The 21,681-nt window shown below is 38.0% G+C and overlaps 1 protein-coding gene and 1 long non-coding RNA gene across 11 annotated transcripts in view; one reads left to right on the top strand and one right to left on the bottom strand.

Moving 5' to 3' along the window:
* SLC30A8 (solute carrier family 30 member 8) overlaps positions 1-21,681 on the bottom strand; it is a 226,498-nt gene that overhangs the window by 13,045 nt on the left and 191,772 nt on the right. For 5 of the 6 annotated variants that reach the window (NM_001172811.2, NM_001172813.2, NM_001172815.3 and 2 more), the window contains 6 exons: positions 16,822-16,851; positions 16,517-16,716; positions 10,580-10,726; positions 5,826-5,979; positions 1,782-1,932; positions 140-245 (listed from right to left, as the gene is read on the bottom strand). In NM_001172811.2, the coding sequence (NP_001166282.1) occupies positions 140-245; positions 1,782-1,932; positions 5,826-5,979; positions 10,580-10,726; positions 16,517-16,640 (682 nt within the window). In that variant the 5' untranslated portion in view covers positions 16,641-16,716; positions 16,822-16,851. The remainder of the gene's footprint in view (positions 1-139; positions 246-1,781; positions 1,933-5,825; positions 5,980-10,579; positions 10,727-16,516; positions 16,717-16,821; positions 16,852-21,681) is intronic. The other variant, NM_173851.3, reaches the window with a different exon arrangement.
* LOC105375716 (uncharacterized) overlaps positions 1-21,681 on the top strand; it is a 436,284-nt gene that overhangs the window by 357,051 nt on the left and 57,552 nt on the right. The gene's annotated exons all lie outside the window — the stretch shown is intronic.

The following is a 21,681-nucleotide window of genomic DNA, read 5'->3' as shown; positions in this document are numbered from 1 at the left end:
TTTTCACAAAAATTCCTTTTCACTTTAAATTTTTCCCATAATTCAAATTAACAGTGAGCATGCCTTGTAGCCATTCCCTTTTGTGATTCTAGGGAAGAGAAAACACTGACTCTGGGAGTAATAATAAAATCACTCCTACCTTCCATGAGTAAGATGGAGAAGTCCTTTAAGATAGTGATGGTGCTGGCCAAGACCAGGATGGAAAAGATGAATGTGCAGATTGGGTCGGCTATTTTATACTCTGGCTAGAAAAAAAAACAGGGATTTTGGTTAACTGAATTCATACCTCTCTTTCAGAAAGTCTGATTAATAAAATAAGTAAACCTCCCTGTGTCTTTCCTTCTCTGTCACTCATTTACCCTTTTGACATGTGTCATCCAACTGAGAGGGAAGACTTTGTTTTTGAAGACTCAATCCTTCCTTTCAGCTTTAAACTACCAGCAAATAAAGAAGTGAGACTACAAGTCATGCTCTCCCCATAATTTAAGAACTAAAAGGAAGAATATTCTTAAGTTTGCTCTCAAGAGCCCTGATTTAACTTCTTGCAGATTAATAAAAGTACAGAGTATGTGATGAAAGTATGCACAAATATGCCCACAAGATCCAAAGACTTTTTGGCCTTAATTATAATGAGCAGAAGAAAGGACATAACTTGTTCAGAAATTGCATGTGGCCAGCATACAGCTGGACTATGCTCTTGGCTGACTGGAGTGAGTTTATTTCTTTGCCTCTCAAGTATTGCACATACTCAAGGCTGGCATCTTTGATGCAGTCTTAAAGGTGTGAACCAAAGTATCATCCTTGCTCAGTCGCCTCAGGGTGAAATGTCTGCTTTTCTACCCTTGAGAAAGTTCTATGCCACAGAAAAGTCTGTGCCCCACTATCTTTAAGAAATTCAGCATCAACTCAACTTTTGTAAGTGGACCCTCAAACTAGTTTTGCCTTAGACCTAAAGCTTTCAGTGATCATTTTGCTCAACTGAATTTAGATATGTCTTTGTAATTTTTCTTTCCATGTTTTCACTTTTTTAGGAAAAGCTGTGAGTCTCTGCAAATCAGACAATTGTGATGCAAACAGACAGAGCTAAATGTTCTTCTCCATTCTCTGCCTGCTAACCCATCTCTGTTATCAGTATTACCAGGTAGAGATCTGCAGTGGATATTTATTTGTTTAGGGTCAGAGGCTTACCGGGAAGTCATTCCCACTTTTCATTAGCACCTTGGCTTCTGGGGGAGAAGTTACCTCTCCCCCATTGTGGGCAATACTGGTGGAACAATAAATCAGGTGCTCTAACCTCCCTTCGGCCAAGCAGCAGATACAAGACACAACCTAGGTCAACTGGACTCCCGTTCACAGAAATATCATTCTTCAGAAGTGACAAAAACAGAAAAAAAAATTTGTTGAGACACATTTATTTCAGTGTGGTGTCTGGGACAGAAGTTGGATCGTTTCTAAAACCTAGATATCAAAATTTGCCCTTATTTCTACTTTGATGTCTGTCTAGGAGCACATCCAATAAATTTCAGCCAATAAATATACTTTTTGCTAAAGTGAGCCAGAGATGTTCCCTATTGCTTATAATCCAAGAACCTGAAGGTATTCACAGTTTTGTTGCTGTTCATCTTAACACCATGGTTGAGTGTTTGCTTGCTTTAGCTTTGCAAAGTAGTTTGTATAGGTAAACAGAGGATGCCCATTCTCTTTAAGTTAATGTTGGAGGGTCAGCTTCTGTACTACCTAATCTACATAAGTACTAGGATGGTGGGTAAACTCAAACTCACCTTAAAGTAGATAATAAGTGCACTAATTAGCACACTGATACTCTGAAATAGATCTCCAAGGGCATGCACAAAAGCAGCTCTGACGCTGGCATTGGCTTGTACTTCCTTGTGATTGTGGCCAAGGCATCTCTGGTGCAAAACCACAGTTAGTCTGAAAGAGAGAACAATGTTCTTAGCACACATGAGGTCAGTCTTAAAAACGTAGGCAGCATAATGGAGAAGCTGGCAATAACATGCATTATCCAAAATGATGGATAGTTGAAATATTTATGCTTTAAAAAGAACTATCTTTGACTAATGTTTAAATACATATGTCATAGAATTTTAATACTTTTATACAAAAACAAACCACAAAGACCCATCCAGTTTACTCATTCATCCACCTAATGTTTATCTGTTTCATGTTGAAACTGGAAAGCATCACTTCTTAGATGAAAATCAAGCATTTGATAATGAAGGGAGGAAATCTCCTTTATTGAAGGTTGACTGACTGTCAGGCACCAAGCTGGCTTAAAGTCAAGCTTCATTGGGAGCTTAATTAAAAGTACTGGTTTCAAATGCAAAAAACACAGGAAGGGATAAATAAGGGAAAAATAAGATAAGTAGTGAATTTTATTGAGGTTTTATTTTACCTAATTTTGTGCATTTTCAAAAGAATTTTAAATTTGAATGATTTCTTACTGTCCAATGATGAGAATATTGTGCTCATGTATATAAAGCTATTAATCCAGAAGTAGAAATATATTAATGTATGAAAAATGATCTTGTATGTGTACATACATATACACACAATATATTGCAAAGCTGAGCATCTCTTGTCTGAGTCAAAGTGATCAGTAGCAAACACTACAAACTATGTACATAATTCTGTTTATCTATAACTTTAAGAGGTATTAGACTAAACGTAAAATTAGAACATTTTCACTGACAGCTAACAGTGTTTTGCCTTTCTGAACTTTTTCTAAACATTTTGGAACAAAGATTTAAAAGCAGCAACATATTGTTCAACACCATGTATCCCATTCTATTTTCAGGTAAAGTGTCTGTTAAATCTCAGGTCATCACCACAAAGTGGAATGACCGCTAGCCATCTAGATCTGATCACTACTGAATGTGCAGTTTTCAGGTGTTCATTGTTTGGGTAGAAATTCACTCTCACCTAGGAGTTAACATTTAAGGTTCCTTAGACAGCCTGATATGGCTGACAGATCATAGAACCTCATCTGATCTGCCATGTGTGTTCATCACGTTGTCATTCATTCTTTTACTCATCTTATTGACAAAAAGAGAGAGGAAAAAAACTTGTGTAGTCACTCATATGCAGACATTTGTAAAAGCTTGGGCCATAAAGGTGAGTGAAAACAGTTGTGGTCACTCCCCAGTGTAGCTTTAAATGTGCTGGAGAAGGTAAAGATTAAACACCCCACTCCCCCACCGCGCGCACATGTGCGCGCACACACACACACACACACACACACACACACAAGTGGAAAATTCTAATTACAATAAGTCCACTGGTACTATGGGTAATACAACAGAGGAATCTGATTTAGTTAGAAAGACGTAGCAGCTGAGTTGAATTCAAAAGCTTAAGCTAGAGTTAAATATGCTGATGGGAGGAAATGTTTCAGGCAGTGAAAACTTAGCAGGCAATAGCCTTAAGGCTGTATTTATAACCTTCATCCTAGAATCTCTTCACAACTTCTATTGGAACTTTCTGTCCTGATTTTGAGTCCCCAGGGAATAGATTTATTCCTGAATCGCAATTCCGATATCTCTATATTCAAACAATACAGCATCTAGCAGCATTTGAAACCTGTAATCCCAGTTCTTGGAGAAAATATTATAGTCACTCAGCATTCTTATCCATAAATAACTATCTACTTGCACAAAGAAGGCAGAGCTTTCCAACTGCCTTGACTTTCTGAGTGTAAAAAGCACCTGCAATGTTAAGGTCAATGTTCAAAAGCAGTTACGAGAAAAAGAAAATTTGGATGATATCTGTTTAGAAAATCAAACCTGATCATTGAGGCCCCAGATTGATGTGATAGTTGGGTAGGTTTGTAGCCTTCATCTTTGTGTAGCATCAAGACAGCCTAAGTGACATATGACTCTCAGGAAGTTAATACTTGCATTCTTCCTTCTGCCTCAAGACCATATTGTTCTCCTTATGCAAAGCGGACTTTATTGACCCGTAGTCAGCAATATGTGTGCTCTGGCATATTTGTCTCCTAGAGGTGACAGATTTACATTGATCTACTCACACTTTTTCTCCCAGTGCCAATGTGAAACACATTTTCAAGTTAACTGGCTAAAGATGGGGATCTAGTCAGTGACAGCAGATCAAACACCATTCTTCTAATTATTTAGCTCAGAGATTTTGAGCAATGGTTCACAAACTGAGAGCTGAGTAAGTGAGATGTCAAGGGGCAAGGCTGTTAGAATGACCTGAGGACCTTTTTCAAAGTGTACATGCTCAGCTATTCTTGAATTCCAGAGATGTCATTGTGCCCCCTCTTAAAATCCACTGTTTAAAACTTCATTTTTCGATCACTGTCTTCTCTACCTTCATGTAAAAATCTACCTCATAGCATGTGTCAAGTTGTATTGCAAGATAGATAGGCAGATGATAAATAGGCTGAGTTTCCTATTGCTTCTGTAACAAATAACCATGATGCTTTAGCAGCTTAAAACAACACAAACTTATTATAGTTCTGGAGGTCAGAAATCTAAAGTGGGTCTCTAGGACTGCATCCTTTGTGGAGGTTCTAGAAGGAAATTCATGTTCTTGTCTTTTCTAGCTTCCAGAGGCCACTTGGCTCCAGGCCGATTTCTCCATTTTCAACATCAGAAATACAGCATCTTCTCTCCTCTCTGATCTCCTGTCTCCCTCTTATAAGGACGCTTGTCATTATGTGGACCCACCTGGATAATCAAGGATAATTTCCCATCTTAATATCCTTCATCATATTTGCACAGTTCCTTTTGCCATATGATTTAACATATTCAGAAGTTCCAGGGGTTAGGATGTTTAAAGCTTTTTAGGAGAATGGGTCATTATTCTGTCCACCAACACGATAGCTAGCTAGATCACTAGATAGATAGATGGATGGATGGAGTTTTAAGTAGAGTTGCCCAGAATTAGACCCTCAAATGGGAAGGAGAAATTTGACTCAAAAAAATCAAAGTCCTGGCCTCAAAACCCCATTGCCTGGGCAATCCAGTAGTTCATTTTGGGAAAGGTAGACTCATTTGTCAAGGGACATATGCTCATCTCCTGTAAGAATGATTTAAGACTGCCTAGATAAAAGAATGGACAAGCAGGTTGAAACTTAAGGGAGAATTTAACTAACATAGCATAAGGAAGAATTTTCATGCAGTCACAATGCTGCAAAGATAAAAGAGGCTGTTTTTGAGGGAAATAAATTTCCTTTTATGAGTTCTATTAAAATATATGAAACTAATGACCATTTTATGGAAATGTTGCAAAAGAAAATGCAAAAGTAAAATGGGGACTGAAGTAAATACATTTTAGAGTCCCTTTCCACCCAGCTCACTGGGAAGCCACCATCTGCTCACCCCATAGAAATGGAACAGTAGTAAGTCATGCCCCATGTGGAACCATCAGCATGCCTGAGAGCAGAATGTAAAGCAGCTCAATTCTGGGTCTGCGAATCTGGATTAAAATCCTGGCTCTGTACTACTTAACTGGCAGTGTATTTAACCTCACTGGGCTTTAGTTTCCTAATCTATAACATAGGGGTGTTGTGAACATTAAAGTTGGTAATATATATTCAAACATCCTAACCCTGCCTCTAGCACACCAGAAGCTTTCAAAACATGATAGCTAGCAGAAGCCAATATTAAAAAACACTTTAGCTTAAACGAAAGCAGTCAACCTTATTTTCAATCTTAGAGCCATTCAAACACTCTGTCCAGTCTCTACCATCTTCACATGTACTGAGTTTTTTAAAAGGTCGACTTTGTCCAGATAGTTACAGGAGAGCCTCATGAGCAGTGTGTGGGGACCAGGGGATGACTTACACAATGTTGGCCGCCACTGCGCAGCTGGAAACGATGATCATCACAGTCGCCTGGATCTGGTAATCAGGATACAGCAGGCGCTCACATGCCAGGTACACTAGCACGCCAGTCACCACCCAGATGCACAGGATGGAGAGCAGGGCACCAAGGATCTCTAGGAATTCAAACACACACAGAAACCCACACACAGATAACTCCATCACCTACACCTACACCCCCAAGAGTCATAAGACACTTTGCCACTTCCCCCAAAAAGGCTTCACATTAGTTCATCCAGTGATTCACAAAGTAAAAGTGTGGATGGATTTTAAAACTAAGAGAAAGTATTTTAATGTTGCATTCATAAAACACCAGCATCTGAGTCACTATGTTCCATCTTACTAAGTAATTTTTCAGCAAATTTTTAGAACATATTAATTGCTGCCTGCCCCTACCCCCTGTTTTCCTTGGGGATCTTAATTTAAACAGGTGCTAAAATGATTGAAACTTATTAGGAGGTAAAATAATGAGACACAGAGAGTAAAATGTGTTTAGAAACTCTTAATTTTGCCATAAAAAATTTACGACCTGCCAGTGCCAGCACCTTCAATGGAATAAAATAGTGAAAAGGGAAAGCTTCAGAGAGCACTTGAAGAAAATGAGTTTTATTTGCCAACGCAACATATTATAAACACAGAGGTGAGCTCAGAGGCTGACTAACACTCTGACTGCATTTTAAGAGCAACAGTACGAAAAAGAAGCATCAGAATAGAAGTGTTTACATCAATATGTAAAGATAAAATGGTGTTCAATCTGCCCACTGAGAAAAGTGCATTTGCTCACTTAGGAGTTAACACCTCACTCTGACCTTTAATTCAAACCCATAGATTCTAAAAACCCAGAAAGGTCTAGAAACATTCTGTGAGTCAGTGGTCAGGTACAATCCATCATTTAGTCCTTCCCCACTTTAAGCTAATCCCAGAGATTAGTTCCTTTTAAAGCAGAGTAATGTAATATATTATTACCCATTGTGTGGCAATTATTTCCCAGACTTTAGTCATTTACAGACAACCTTCATAACGTTTTCCAAATCCACATGCTACCTGTCTTATTAACCACTCGATATTTTTTCAAATAAATTCACTTTTTACACTTAGCTTCTTCCTAAACAATGTTATCCATGAAATTACATATTTGATGTGCTAGTTTATTTTGTAATGTGCATCAGGATGTGTAATTATTGTCCATATGACACTTAAAATTATCTGACTAACCAACTGTGGAACATTTCTCACACTATGGGAAATGCTGATGCAGATGTTTAAGGCATGAGCTCAAGTGTCAGACGTATATGGCCTGCCAGTGACTGGCTATGTGACTTTAGACAAGTCACTTAACCTATTTGAGCCTGAATTTTCTTATCTATATGTATTATAATAATAGAATATATGTAAAACAAGTTGCCATAGATTATGGGTTGAATTATGTTCCCCCCAAATTTATATGTTAAAGTACTAATCTTTGGCTGGGTGCGGCGGCTCATGCCTGTAATCCCAGCACTTTGTGAGGCTGAAGCAAGCGGATTGCCTGAGGTCAATAGTTCAAGACCAGTCTGGCCAACACGGTGAAACCCCATCTCTACTAAAAATACAAAAAAAATTAGCCAGACATGGTGATGTGCACCTGTAATCCCAGCTACTCAGGACGTTGAGGCAGGGGAATTGCTTGAACCGGGGAGGTGGAGGTTGCAATGGGCCAAGATTGTGCCACTGCACTCCATCCCGGGCAACAGAGTGAGACTCTGTCTCAAAAAAAAAAAAAGTACTAATCTTCAGTTCCTCAGACTGTGACTTTATTTGGAAATAGGGTCACTGCAGATTAAGTTAGTTAAGATGAGGTCACATTGGAGTAGGATGGGCCCAATATGGCTGGTGTCCTTGTTTAAAGTGGAAACCTGGACATAGACATGCAAATTGGGAAAATGCCATGTAAACATGAAAGCAGAGCTCTATGAGCTAAGGAATGACAAAGTTTCCCAGAAAACCACCAGAAGCTAAGAGAGAGGCCTGGAACTGACTTCCCCTCACAGACCTCAGAAGGAACCAACCCCACTGACGCCCGATTGCAGACTTCTGTTTCTCATAACTGTGAGACAATAAATGTCTGTTGTTTAAACAGAAATGTATTTAAAACCAAGTAATGTAATATATTATTACCCAGTGTATGGCAATTATTTCCCCGACCTCATTCATAGACAACCTTCATAATTTGTTATGAAAATTAATAATGTACCCCCCAAAATACTGTACCCAATTTGTAGTACATTATTAAGGCAGCCCTAGGAACCTAATATAACATATAGCAAACACTCAAGAAATTGTTATTTTATTAGTCTACTCAGGCTACTTACGACTCCCCTTTGCAGAAGTTTATGAGGACCAAGCCCAAGAATTTCTGGTTAGCCGGAAATGGAGGTTGAGTCTGTGGATGTCAGGTAGTGTGCTTCCTATCCATGAAAATCCAAAACAGGGTATGAAAGTGGAGTGTGTCTAACTCAAAACCCATGATTAGGAAGCACAGTGGGAAAAGAGCTGGCGAGGTAAAGCTCAATACCAAGAGCAAGAGTCAGGAGTCAGATCTTAAGACAAAACAAAGAGTCAGAAATCCAAAAGTAACTAGTTAGAACAGGAGGCACATGAGGATCATTGGTAAATGTTACAATGATTGCTTAAAAAAGAAATAAGTTAGCTTAGCTGGGCTCATTGGGCTGGCCAGATTATGGGTGTGTTGCGTATGAATGTGTTGGACTCACCTCTGTATCTATAGAGGTGCTGTTTAATATGGTAGCCACCAATCATGCATGGCTGCTTAAAATGAAATTAAGTAAATTTTAAAATCTGGTTCTTCAGTAGCACTAGCTGCATTTAAAGTGCTCAATAGCTACATTTTACTGTATATTACAGAATATTGCCCTCGCAGCAGAGAGTTCTATTAATAGCTCAGGGTCTTCCATGGCCACGATGCCAAAGTACAAGCAGAGATCTAAATTCTGAGTTCACCCTACATTTTCAAATCATCCTAGGTTTACAAAACTGCTTTGACAAATGGTATCAGAAAGGGTCAAGTACATGTAAAACTTTACACAGACAAATAATGGGTGCTTAGCTACAGGTCCATGTTTTCCAAGTGTAGCGCTGTTCAAGCACCAGCAAAAACATTCTCAGATCACGTTGTCACAAACTCTCTTTACTGCTGTTTATTGCCTCATCTCCTGAATGTTAAAGGGAAGCAAGTCAAAACACCTGCGATGATCAAGTGTTTGTTTAGTATGAAATTAGGACTTCCTGCCATTCTAAACTTGAAAAGCCGCAGTCCACAGTTATCAGTCTATAAGCTGTGATATGTGTCTAGCAGCCCTTTCAGTGAAGGCTGGCCACCCTTGCTCAGCTCTCCAATTTCCTCTACATGGATGTTCTCAACCAGTGTGAAAATGTGGAATTGTGGCTATTTGTTCACATGATTTGCACAAAATATTCAGCCGGAACCTCCTCCAGCTGATAGAAGGAATAACACAGAGGAGAAGAATTGAAGTTGCAGAGTGTGGGGGTTGTGGGGGTGGGTTAGGGAGGGACTGTAAAAATGAGTCAAAGTAAAAACCCTTATCAATACCTAGATGATGGGTTGATAGGTGCAGCAAACCATGACGGCACACGTTGACCTATGTAACAAACCTACACATCCTGCACATGTACCCCAGAACTTATTAAAATTAAAATTAAAATTTAAAAAAGCATACAGTCAAATGTGTTATATACCAAATTTAGAGACCTCCAAGTTGTTTATGCTACTTGGTTAAGTTATTTATGTCTGTTTTAGTGCATACATGTTATTTGAAATCCCTATAATTATGAGTTGAGAAGGCTGGAATTTGCACTAGACTTCTTCTCTCCCTTTCTTAATCAGAGTGGATTCATTTGTCTATTGTGAAATTATTTAAGGAAGCACACGTGAACCACATTTAATAAATGGCAGGCAAGGCTCAGGCACATGTTTCAGCACGTGTTTGCTTTCCTCCTGTTACAACAGTCAACTGAGCAATAAAGAATGAATACACACACACACACACACACACACACACACACCCCTTATCATGACCTTGGCTACTGCCTATACAAGAGTAAGCAGTTATTCAGTGAAGGAACCAGCGCAAGAAAGGAGAAAAAGTAAACTTTCATCTTCTCCTCTTCCTTCTCCTCCTCCTTTTTTGCATTATTGTTGATTGAGCGAGCAAGATATTCAATTGGACCAATGGCTGAATGGCTAAATGCTGTGTGTGAGCAGGAAAGCCTATATTCTATTCCTGAATCCTCTATAAGAAGTTCTTCAATCTCTATAACTCTCTTGGGTGCTCTGTGCCTCATTTTGCAATATGGCAGAAGCTTTACTCCTATCCTCTCTTCCAGGGATGCAGAGTAATTTAATGAATTGCGTTATGTCTGTCACCATACACAGAGTCCCTGAGGCTGGGGCAGTTGCTGAAGTGATACACGTGTTCCTGTTGTCCCAGAGGACTAGAGATAGCACCATTAATCTGTCTGTTATCTGAATTAATATTGAAAACACACATTCCCACATACACATTTGTTTTATCCTGTGCATCAGAAATGTGTCTCTAAGGACTTTCCAACAAGGCTTTGCTTCGTGTCTTCCACTTTTACCCTTGGTTTGACTTTGCAGCACCAGCCTGCTGTTATTGCTCACTCTATGAACCGTACCTGCTCGGTGCCATCCAAATGTCAGCCGCTTAGAGGGAGGCTTCGATGACAACCACAGGGAGAAGAGACTGAGCAGGAAACTGGTCAGGTCAATTAAGAGGTGGGCAGCATCTGTGACAACAGCAAGACTCCCAGCAATGTGCCCACCTAGAGAATGCAAAATAGTACACTGTGTTAAGGTCCCAGAATGCAGCTAGATTCACAGACATGCTAACCATCATGGGTGAAAATGCCACAGACTCACAAAACTTTAGAGGAAAAAGAGATCTTAAAGTTGATTTAATTCACCCCTTCTGCGACTCAGAGAGGGGATATGATTTGAACATGTAGAAATCAATTTCAAAGGAGAAGCCATTCCTGGGGTAGAAAAGACATAGAGACTAGAAAGTGTGGGGCAGGCACATCTGGAGAACACCTTAATTAGACTGGGTATAAGGATTCAAAAGAGGAGAATACAAGAGAATCAGGCTGAAGCAGTGCGGGTCAGATTCAAAGAGTCTCATAATCCAGACTGAGGACATGGACTTTTGTTTATAAACTAGATGTTGCGATCTGGCCCACAGATGTGTTTTTATTTGACTTATAATTTAATCAGCATCTTTACCCTTTCCTTTTTCTCTATTAATATATATTATCCACCTGAGCTTGAAATCCCTGTAAGAAATAACAGGGAGCAGAAAGGAGAAAGGGCAGGTACCTTCCAATGGGCGTCCTCAGTGCTACAATCCAATAAAGCATAGGGATGCAATGTAAGCCATGAGAGTCCTGCCTGGCTTTTCCCTTTATTTGATGTGCTCCCTCTACTTCCCTCTAATCCTCCTTTGAGAAAAGACCTCCAGCCTCCAAAATAGAAGTTAAAGAAAAACCTTGCCCTTTCCTTCCCAGACATGGTTTGTTGTTTGAGAGCAATAACCTTTATTGCTCTTACTACATCTTCCCAGCAAAGGGCTTTTGCTGACTGATTAGTTCTCCCTACAGCTGTTTATTGCCTTGTGTACTACAAAATAGCAGAGACTGTCAGCCATCAGCCCCGCCATCATCAGACTCACCTTGTCTCGCCTAATTTTTAAAAATTACATAGATGGCTCATAATTGCAATAATCCCCACAGGCCATTGGCTCTAGCCGTAGTTAATAACTGGTTTGTCAAGGTTTAATGGGCTGAAGCAAAGTAATCTTCAAGCTTGTTACTGAACAGTCACTGCAAAAATCAGAATGATTCATTACCCAAAAAGCAACATTTTGCTAACAAATCAGCTGTCCTTCCAATTATCCTCTAATGTTGCTCTATCTGCCAAACTTGGTCCTGATGATAAAACTGTGTTAATAAGGCATTATTTCTTGCCCAGAGAATAACTCCATGCAGATAAGCAGTACGCTGCAATCACAGCAATGAGTGATGACGATTCTATGTGCTGGGCTGAAATATAGTCTAAATCAAGGAAATGAAGTCAGTTTTATAAACTCTCTTCAACAGTCTCAGCTGAGGCAGGAGGCACCTGAGAAAGAAAAAGGGCTTGCTTTGGAATAAGCATGTTACTATGGAGGCTTGGAAACTGAGAACCATTTTGCAACCTTCAGAGCTACTTATAAGAGCCATCCAGAAAACTGCGGGCAGTCACTGATGCATAGAGCAAACTGCTTGCAAGAGGTAGTTTGTGACTGATCTTGCATTTGCTTCTGAAAGCATGGAGTATTACTGACAATTAATTCAATTATCCAGCCAATATTTATTGAGCCCTTACTGTGCATGGTACCAGGGATTGGGTATACAAAGATAAACAAATAACAGCCTCTCTTCAGTGATCTCCTTGTTTAACACTCACTGTACCAGAGACAAGTTAATGGGCTAAGGGATCAGAGAGCTGCCCTCACTGGGAAGAGTGAGGAACTTTTCACAAAGAGAGGGGTAAGAATTAGCAAAAAGAGAAGGGGTTTTCAGGAAGAGATAAAAGCACGGACTAAAATAGAGTGAAAGAACATAGAACTTTTCGGGAAAAGCAGAAGGTATGGAATGTTGGAGGAAAAATGGGAAATGAGCCTGGGAAGGCAGGTTGGAAACGCCTGTGTGGGGTATTATATGTCAAGCCAAAGGGTTTGAATGTGATTCTATGGCTAAGGAGATCTACTTATTATTTTTGAGGCAAGGCTGTGGCATGTTGAGATCTGTATTTAAGAGAGACTTCTGGCCGGGCTTGGTGGCTCACGCCTGTAATCTCAGCACTTCGGGAGGCAGAGGCGGGCGGATCACGAGGTCAGGAGATCAAGACCATCCTGGCTAACACGGTGAAACCCCGTCTCCACTAAAAATATGAAAAATTAGCCGAGCGTGGTGGCAGGCGACTGTAGTCCCAGCTACTCGGGAGGCTGAGGCAGGAGAATGGCGTGAACCCGGGAGGCGGAGCTTGCAGTGAGCCAAGATCGGGCCACTGCACTCCAGCCTGGGTGACAGAACGAGACCCCGTCTCAAAAAAAAAATTTTCTTTTAAAGTCTCGATAGTGTTAGCGAAGGGAAATTATGATAAAGGCATGAACTAGGGCAGCAGCAGTCATATTTCTGGAATACTTGACAAGATGTGCAGAGCAGTACACTTATAACAAGATAAGAGACACACAGAAAAGACTCAGACCTGGAAGACTTGACTTAAGGCCTGTGGAGTGAAGGTGACAGCAATAGAGCAGAGGAACGATGGGGCCTGGGTCTCACAAACCACCTCCAACTGAGATGGTGTTAATTCCCCATGCGGGTTTCCATGGAGAACACAGACTTACTGACAGCAATGAAAGAATGTTTATCTGACAACGTTAGCCATGTGTCCCATTGCTGGGCTACAGTTGTGTGCTATTAATTAACATATTTTTAAATTCTTCTTTAATTATTTTGTGAATACTATTATACTATACCATATGTTGTGTCAAAACCCCATTGAGTTGTTACTTAACAAGTACAACAACACGTCCTCAAATAACATCATTTCATTCAACTTCCTTTGTTTATAATGTCGATAAGAAAATAAAATGGATTCCTGACCAGGGTTGCTGTCTGTGTGGAGTTTGCATGTTCTCCCCATGTCTGCATGGGTTTTCTCTGAGTACTAGGGTTTCCTCCCACATTCTGTGCACATGAGGTTCACTGGCGTGTCTACATGGTCCTGGCGGGAGTGAGTGTGGGTGAGTGACTGTGCCCTGTGATGGGAGGGCTGTTTTCCCACCTTGAACCCTGAGCTGCTGGGACAGACTCCAGCTATGAAACTGAAATAAGCGGGCTGAAAAAGGAATGAATGGAAACAAACGATTGTAAAATAAATATGTGTAAGGTAGATGATCATCATACAGATGCCCCCCATAAAAAGACACAGTATGAAAGTGCTCAGCAAGCCCAGCTCATTTTTTCTTGAGTTTGAACTGTGTGATAGCAGGAGGCACTCCTGACAATTTTCACTTTGCAAACATTTATTCCTTGATGTAACCACCACCATTATGACCACCCTCACGCACTGATTCACCCAAAATTGCGTAATTATCTCACTTGTGTTTATCATCTTTCTTAGATGTGTGTATAGCTCACGTTTATTTCAGTGTTTAATATTCAAAGTGTTTTAGCCTTTGTGCTTCTAGTTCCTTCTATAAAGTGAGATTAACAATAAGAGCCACCTCTTAGGGAATTCACCGGGATTAATTAAGGTAATACATGGAAAGCACTCGTCACAGCTTCTAACACATAGTAAGCATTAAATAAATAATAGCTACTATCATAATGCCAAAAATGCAAAGATCATATCATGTTTCTCTTAACATAACACACCTCAAACAAGAATCAAAAAGCTTTAAAAAACAAAGTCAAAAGTAAAGGTATTTGCTTAAAAGTCAACACTCATCCTTGATTCTTTGTTAATCATTACAAAACTGAAACAAAGAAACATTTCATTAACATAATACAAAACACTTAACCCTTCAAGAAGCATTTTGCTTAACAGCTAAATAATCAAACATAGATTTGATTTAGCATAAGGTATTGTTTAACGTGATAAAAACACGAAACACACAAAAGAGATATAAATATTGAAATGAGGGGAAATATGTTTTCTGCACAAGACAGGGTGATGTCCTGGGATGAGGAAGATCCATGAGACAGGAAAAAGGGAAATGCACTGAAATATATTTAGAATTGACAATAATTCAAATATATAATTGAGTACAAAGTGAATATACAAAAATCAAAACTTTAGAATACAAAAAGTAACTATTTAGAAAACAAAACATGAAAAACGGTGGACTGCATTCACCCTTGGAAAGAATAAGCCAAACACATATAATAATCACAAATAAGTCTTGCAAGAAATAGGCTGTCCATGTATTAAGATGAACACCATAAAACCTTGATGAGACATGTAGAATATTTGGATAAACGGAGAAACATAACATATTCCTGGAGGGAAAGCTGAATACTTAAAGATACTGTGTTCTCAAATTAACTTGAATATTAATAAAATCATAATTGGATGAGGGAAAACTGAACAGAACAATTCTCATGTTTAATTAGGATAATAAACAGAGATGAATAGCCTTTGCTTTTCTTTGTTAAATTAAAAATCATGAGTAGGAAATAACAGATATTATAACATATAAATCTACATTAATTATGTCCTTGACAGAGACCAGAAACACAGATCAGTGAAACACCTTAGAAACAGACCCTGCTATTTATAAAGTTTTGATAAGTGATTAAAGAAATATAAAAAATCAATGGGGAAAATAATTATTTCCTAAATGATGCTGAAAACTGTTATTTAGAAAAAAATTCAGTCCTTAGAGCATACAATATATCTAATGTGAACATTAATTTTAAAACCAAATGCAAAAATTAAACAACAAAAAAGCTATCTTCTCAGTAGATGGAGAAGGATTGTTAAGCACTAAAATAGTGAGAGTAGTAAAAGAAATGAGCTCAAAATGAAAAGTTTAAAACAGTTACCTATATAAAATTTAAAACATCTCTAAGTCAAAATAAACATCAAAAGGTTAAACAACAAACTGGAAAAGCACTTATAACTAATATAACAAAGGTCTAACATCCTAATATATAAAGAGCTCCCAGAGATCAATATAGAGAACTAAAAATTTTCTAAAAAACGAATGAGTAACAGACATTAAGAGACAAGGAGAAAATGCATTAACAGAGGGAAATACAGATCACTAATAAGCATGCAAAAATAGTCTAATAGTAACAATTAAAGAAATAAATATTAAAATAAAACATTCATCTATACAGTAGCAAAGTATTTTAGAGATTAAAATTAGGTGTCATTAAGATTTGGAGTCAGAATCATTCTCAAGTAGAGCTGGTAGAGACGAATTGTTTAGCTTTCTCAACAGCACTCTGGCAATATGAATCAAGTAATACAAATATTCATGTCCTTCAACCAATTATTTTCACTTTTAGGAATCTCTTTGAAGGGATTAACCAGAAAGACAGGCAGAGTTTTCTTCAAGATTTTGCATTGCAGCATTGTCCATAAGCAGGAAAAAACTCCCTAAATTTCTAACAATAGAGAAATGGTTATGTAAATTACAGTGGAGCATATTAGAGAATATTGTTCAGGCATAAAAATGTTTTTGAGGAGTATTTGACAGTATGGTCAAAAGCATTCAGTATGCTCTCAGTTATGTTTAAAAAATAAAACCTGTGAGCTATGAATACAAAATGCATTGTACAAAACACTCCCTAAAATTATTGAAGGCTATAGCTCAAATATGGAATAGTGATGAATTTTATTTTGTTTCCTTCTATTTTTCAGCTTATCTACAATGAGCATATTGTTACCTTATACTTACAGAAAATATTAAATCTTACTTTATAAGAACTTAGGTAACCCTCCCATAATGATGCAGAGTTTTGTTTGGTTGTTTAATGAAAAAAGTCTGCAGAAAGACTCACCCACGACCTCTGCAATCATGAAAATGAAGCATATTGCTGAAGCAGAACAGAGTTTCCACTTGGCATAGGCGTACTCATTCGCCCCCTTTTCTGTGGGCTTGGAGCCACTGTGGCAGTGGTACATGCCTCCTGACTCCAGCTCCTCTGGTCTCTCTCTGGGACACTGATCTTTATTCACCGGTTTCTGTTGGAGTTCCACACTATGGATGAGTTTGACAGAAGCAAGAAGTGAACATAGTTGCAAACAAGCCACTCACTGACCCACCCTGCCCATACTTGGAACCGCTATTAGGACATTTGCTTACTTGCTATGAAGTGTTCATTTGCAGCTCCTTCTACAAGAAAATATCAAGTGTTAGAAACAAGCTAGAAATTTCCTTCTAAACTTCAACTACTAAAAGTTTTACTTTTATTCAGTCAAACTCTTATTCAGTCAATGCCACCAATTATTAAGAGATATCAAAGGAATAGGAGAAAAGAAGCAGATACATTTTGAAGGGATTTCTTCCCAGTTATTTCACTCTAAAAAGACTGTGGACACTGTGCTACAAAAAAATAATAATAAAATAAATTAGGGTACATTACGATATGTGTATAAGAGCCAGACTGAGGATTCAAATACACATCAACATCATTGACAGATCATAGCACTGTTTCCTGCTGAGTCCGTAAGTACTCTCAGAGACATTCTTACCACCGCTCTGCAGACAGTGGCTACCAATTATTAATGTTATGATAAGAGTTGAAACCTACTTATGCTTCCCAAAGCAGGCAGTGAATATCAGTTCTGCTCAAATACAAAGCATGATTTAGATTCATTCATAGAATTTCACAGATGGAAAGGTAGATAACATTTGGTCTAACCCCTTTTTTCTTTTTTTAAAACAATTTTTATTGATGCATAATAAATATAACTAATTTAGGGTACATGTGATAATTTAATACATTCATATAATTTTTAAAGATCAAATCAGTAAACTTGAGATGTCCATCACCTTAAATATTTCTCTCTTCTTTATTCTAGGAACATTTCAATTATTCTTTTCTGGCTATTTTGAAGCATATGATAGATAATTGCAAACTATAGTCATCTCACAGATCTATCAAACACCAGATCTTTTTCTTCTCTCAAATCATACATTTGTACCCATTAATCAACCTTGCTTCATACCTTCCTCCTCTCTACCTTTCTCAGTCTCTTGTAACCACCAATCTACTCTCTTATCTTCACGAGAGCCACTTTTTTAGCTCCCATATATAAGCGAGAACATGTGATATTTGTCTTTCTGTGCTTGGCTTATTTCACTTAACTGCAACCCCATATTTCTTGGCTGAAGTAACTAAGGTTCAGGAAGTTTAAGTAATTGCCTGAGGTCAAATATCCAGGAAATTTTGGAGTGGGAATCCCAAGCTCAGTGTTTCTTCTGTCATGCCTAAAACCAATTTTAGGTGTCCTAATATTGAGTCAGGAAGGCAGATGTCAAAATCCATGGATCTTGAACTAATCAGATTTTTAAATTTTTAAAAATAAACTCATGTACAGAAATAAATAAGAGTCTTGGAATTAAGAACTTTGCATTCCTGACTCTGAAAGGTAATAACAAACAAACAAACAAAACTAACAATATATTAGCTTTCACTTCATTTCATTTAGCCTATCACCATTCACAATTAAAAGTCTGATGGTTTTGGCTTAGATGACAATTATTATTCTGACTCTATTATTATATTTGATTTTTCTGAATAAAATAATATATATTCATTATAGAAAATCTGGATTACAAAAAAAAATCACAAAGTAGAGGGAAAAATAACTGGTAATCCTCTCCAAGAGACAATTATTATTGATATTTTATTGTGTAGCTTTGTAATATATGAATATATTTTTTACATAATTAGATTCCATATTAATTAGGATGCTTTAGGTTATAAGCACAGAAAACAAGACTCTTGCTAGAATAATTAATAAATAAGAATTATTGGTTCTGCAACTGAAAACATCTAGAGGGGCCAGGTTTCAGATACTTTTTGACGAGGTCTCCAGATTCATTTCTCTGTGGCTCTCAGCTATTCTTCAACCTCAAGCTGATCTTCCCCATGGTAGTGGGATGGTTGCCAAAAGTAATCAAACTATGTATTTCTTTTTTAACAGATACATAGAGAGATTATCCCCTCTCAAACTGCTACACAACAGTCTTGATGTGCATGTGGATTTAGCTAAATGAGAAACAACCACTATAGCCAGGGGAATATGGATGAGCTGATTGACTTAGGCATTATTATACTCAGAAGACTGGCAAAACCCAGCCATGCTGACTCATAGAGCTGAGAATAGGGAAAATTCTACCTAAACCACAGGGCTGCTCCTCAGTGGGGAAGCGCTAGAATGGATGTGAATAAGATGATTGCATCACAAGAGGATCCTACCAAAGATACAGATTCTGAACCTGATTCTCAGCTATCAATATTGTTAATATTTTCTCCATTTATAAAATTTTCTATATCATTATGTTTAAAATATGGAAGGCAGTATATATTTAATATAGCTATATCATAGCATAATTAACTAATATTTTTAAATTATTGGACAACTCATTTTTTTCCAATTATTTGCTCATATAGGCACTACTATGATTCACATCCTTATAATTAATCTTTGCTCAATATATTATCTCCTTAAAGTGGAATCTTAAAGGGGAAATTACTTGGTCAAAAGGTACCTACATTTCTAAGGATTTTGACATATATTGCCAAACTGGCTTTGGAATATACATTAAAGCCAATTTACAACATTGGTTTTTTATCAGTTATGTGAATAGCACTCAGGATTTTGAGTAGTTCCAAACAATCTTCTTAGTTGGAATAAGAACAATTTGGAAAGTAACAAATAAAGTATTTATATCTTAAATGAGTAGACTTTTGCTTTTGTTATGTATAATATCCTAATAATAACCACAGAATTTGGTAGTTTGGGTCCCCAGTGGCCATCATCTCAGAGGAACCTGAGTACTAACTTGAACACATTGTTGAGATTTACTGTTTCCTTGGGCTGAGAAGACAGCATGAGCAAAGCAGGCTCACCAATTGTTCTGGAACTGCCTGGTATGCTGTGGTCATATGAAGCATTGCTTTATTTTATGTTTCTCATGAATCTTATGACCAGGGAAAGCCAAGTAGTCAGTGACCAGGAGAGATAATTTATCCTGGAGCAGCTCAGAAGCCAGTCCAAAGCAAGAATCAAACCTGGAGAAAAGCCCCTGAGCAATGCCACAAGGAGGAAAGTGTGAAAATGTGGGCAATTTTTACTTTTGTGTACTGCTTCCCTGTCTTGGGTTCTAAGGTTAACAAATATGGATATACTCTGAGCTGAGACTGCTCCTTGAAGAACTAAGCCAGAAATCCAAAAGTGGGCTTCATAAGGTCCATTGGAATTGTATACGATGTGTTCATGTGTGAGTGTGTGTGTGTGTGTGTGTGTGTGTGTGTGTTTTATGGGAGAGGCAAGAGTACACAGTCTTCACTTGGCTCCCAAAAGAGCCTGTGACCTCAAAGAAGTTAAAAACCAAAGTTAAGATATATTCCTTATCATCTCATTAAAGTCAAGTCATCTAAGTATCTCTAGATGCAGAACAGGCTCTTGATCAGAACAATGATGTGAATTTTAAGTATTATTTTAAGAAGAAAGTTATAAAAAGCAAATGCTATGATGCAACAAACACTGAATTGTGAATCTGCTGTTAATGAATAAATCCTGGAAGATTCCCATGCATTCAAATATGGCCAAAGCTTTAAAAATTAGGAATAATAGGCCAAAGAAATTTACTGTAGCATCAAAGAGAAAAAAGACGGAGAAAAAGAGATGAAAAAGTACAGAAATATTAGAAAATTTGATGCCAGTACTCTAAAACTTTGATTTCATCTCCAAAAATGGGATTTAGAAAATGGGACTTTATTTTTGCAATCTTGGAGAAGCTTTTATTTTTTAATGTTTTTTTGTTGAGTGGTAGAACTTTGCTTCTATCTCCAAAATAATGTTGGTAAAATTTGTATTTTTTTATCCTCTTATTTCAAATGTTGAGCACATAAAAATCACTTTGCTTTTGTACTTTCATATCAATTTTCCCAAGAACCTCAAATCACTATTCCTGTTAGAAGGGGAGATAAAAGCTTCAGCCTCACCATGAATGTCTAACATTTCATTCATTCATCATTAAATATTTACTGCATACCTAAAAAGGGCCTGCACCATCAGAAGTGTTAATGATACCATGTTGTATGAGAAAAACAAAGTTCCTTCTTTAAAGATCTTGTATTTTAGTAGAGGGAGACAAAGAGTAAATGAATCAATAGTAACAGAGGCTATATAGTATGATGAATGGTGAGAAGGCAAGGGAAGATGAACTACCTTAAATTGTGTGGGAAGGAAAGGCACCGCTGTGGAGGTGATATCTCAGCAGCAAGTTATAGAATTACCAGGAGAAAACCTATGTGAGTGAAGGCTATCCCAAGTAGAGGGCATTGCTGGAGCAAATGCCCAAAGACAAGAAGGATTTTCTTGTTCAAGTGCTTGTCTTGAACAGAAAGAAAACTACATAGGTGTCCCCTGTGGCGTAAAGAAAGAGTGAAATATAAAGAGGTCAAAAAAGGGATCAGATTTTGCAGAACACTTCAGGCCATTATAAAGAGTTTAATTTAATTCAAGGTCTAAAAGGAAAAATTTGGAAAGTTTTGAGCTGGGAAGTAACATTACATGGTTCACATTTCTAAAATGATCACTTTGGGTGCTGCCTGGAAGACTAGAGTGTAAAAGATCAAAACATAGAAACCCTTAGGAGGTGACTACAGCCAACACATTGGTGGCTTTGACCCACGTGGTGACAATAAAAATAGAAAGAAGTAGTCATATTTGAGGGACTTTTGGGAGGTGGAGTCAATAGGACTTGCTAATAAATAACAGTAGTTAAGGGGGAATAATAGAGAGGTGCAACTCAAAGATGACTTGTTGGTTTCTGGTTAGAGTAACCTGGAGAAGGGCATGCCAATTCCCAAGATGGGGCTGAGTGGCAGGCAGTGCAGTATAGAGGCTGAGAGCTTGGGCTCTGGCAACCCACCACCTCAGTTGAACTCCCACCCTTACCACTCACTAGTCATATGACTGTAAGAAA

This window comes from Homo sapiens, chromosome 8 (genome assembly GCF_000001405.40).
Source record: "Homo sapiens chromosome 8, GRCh38.p14 Primary Assembly".
Lineage (NCBI taxonomy): Eukaryota > Metazoa > Chordata > Mammalia > Primates > Hominidae > Homo > Homo sapiens.
This window is presented reverse-complemented; position numbering and strand designations above follow the sequence as displayed.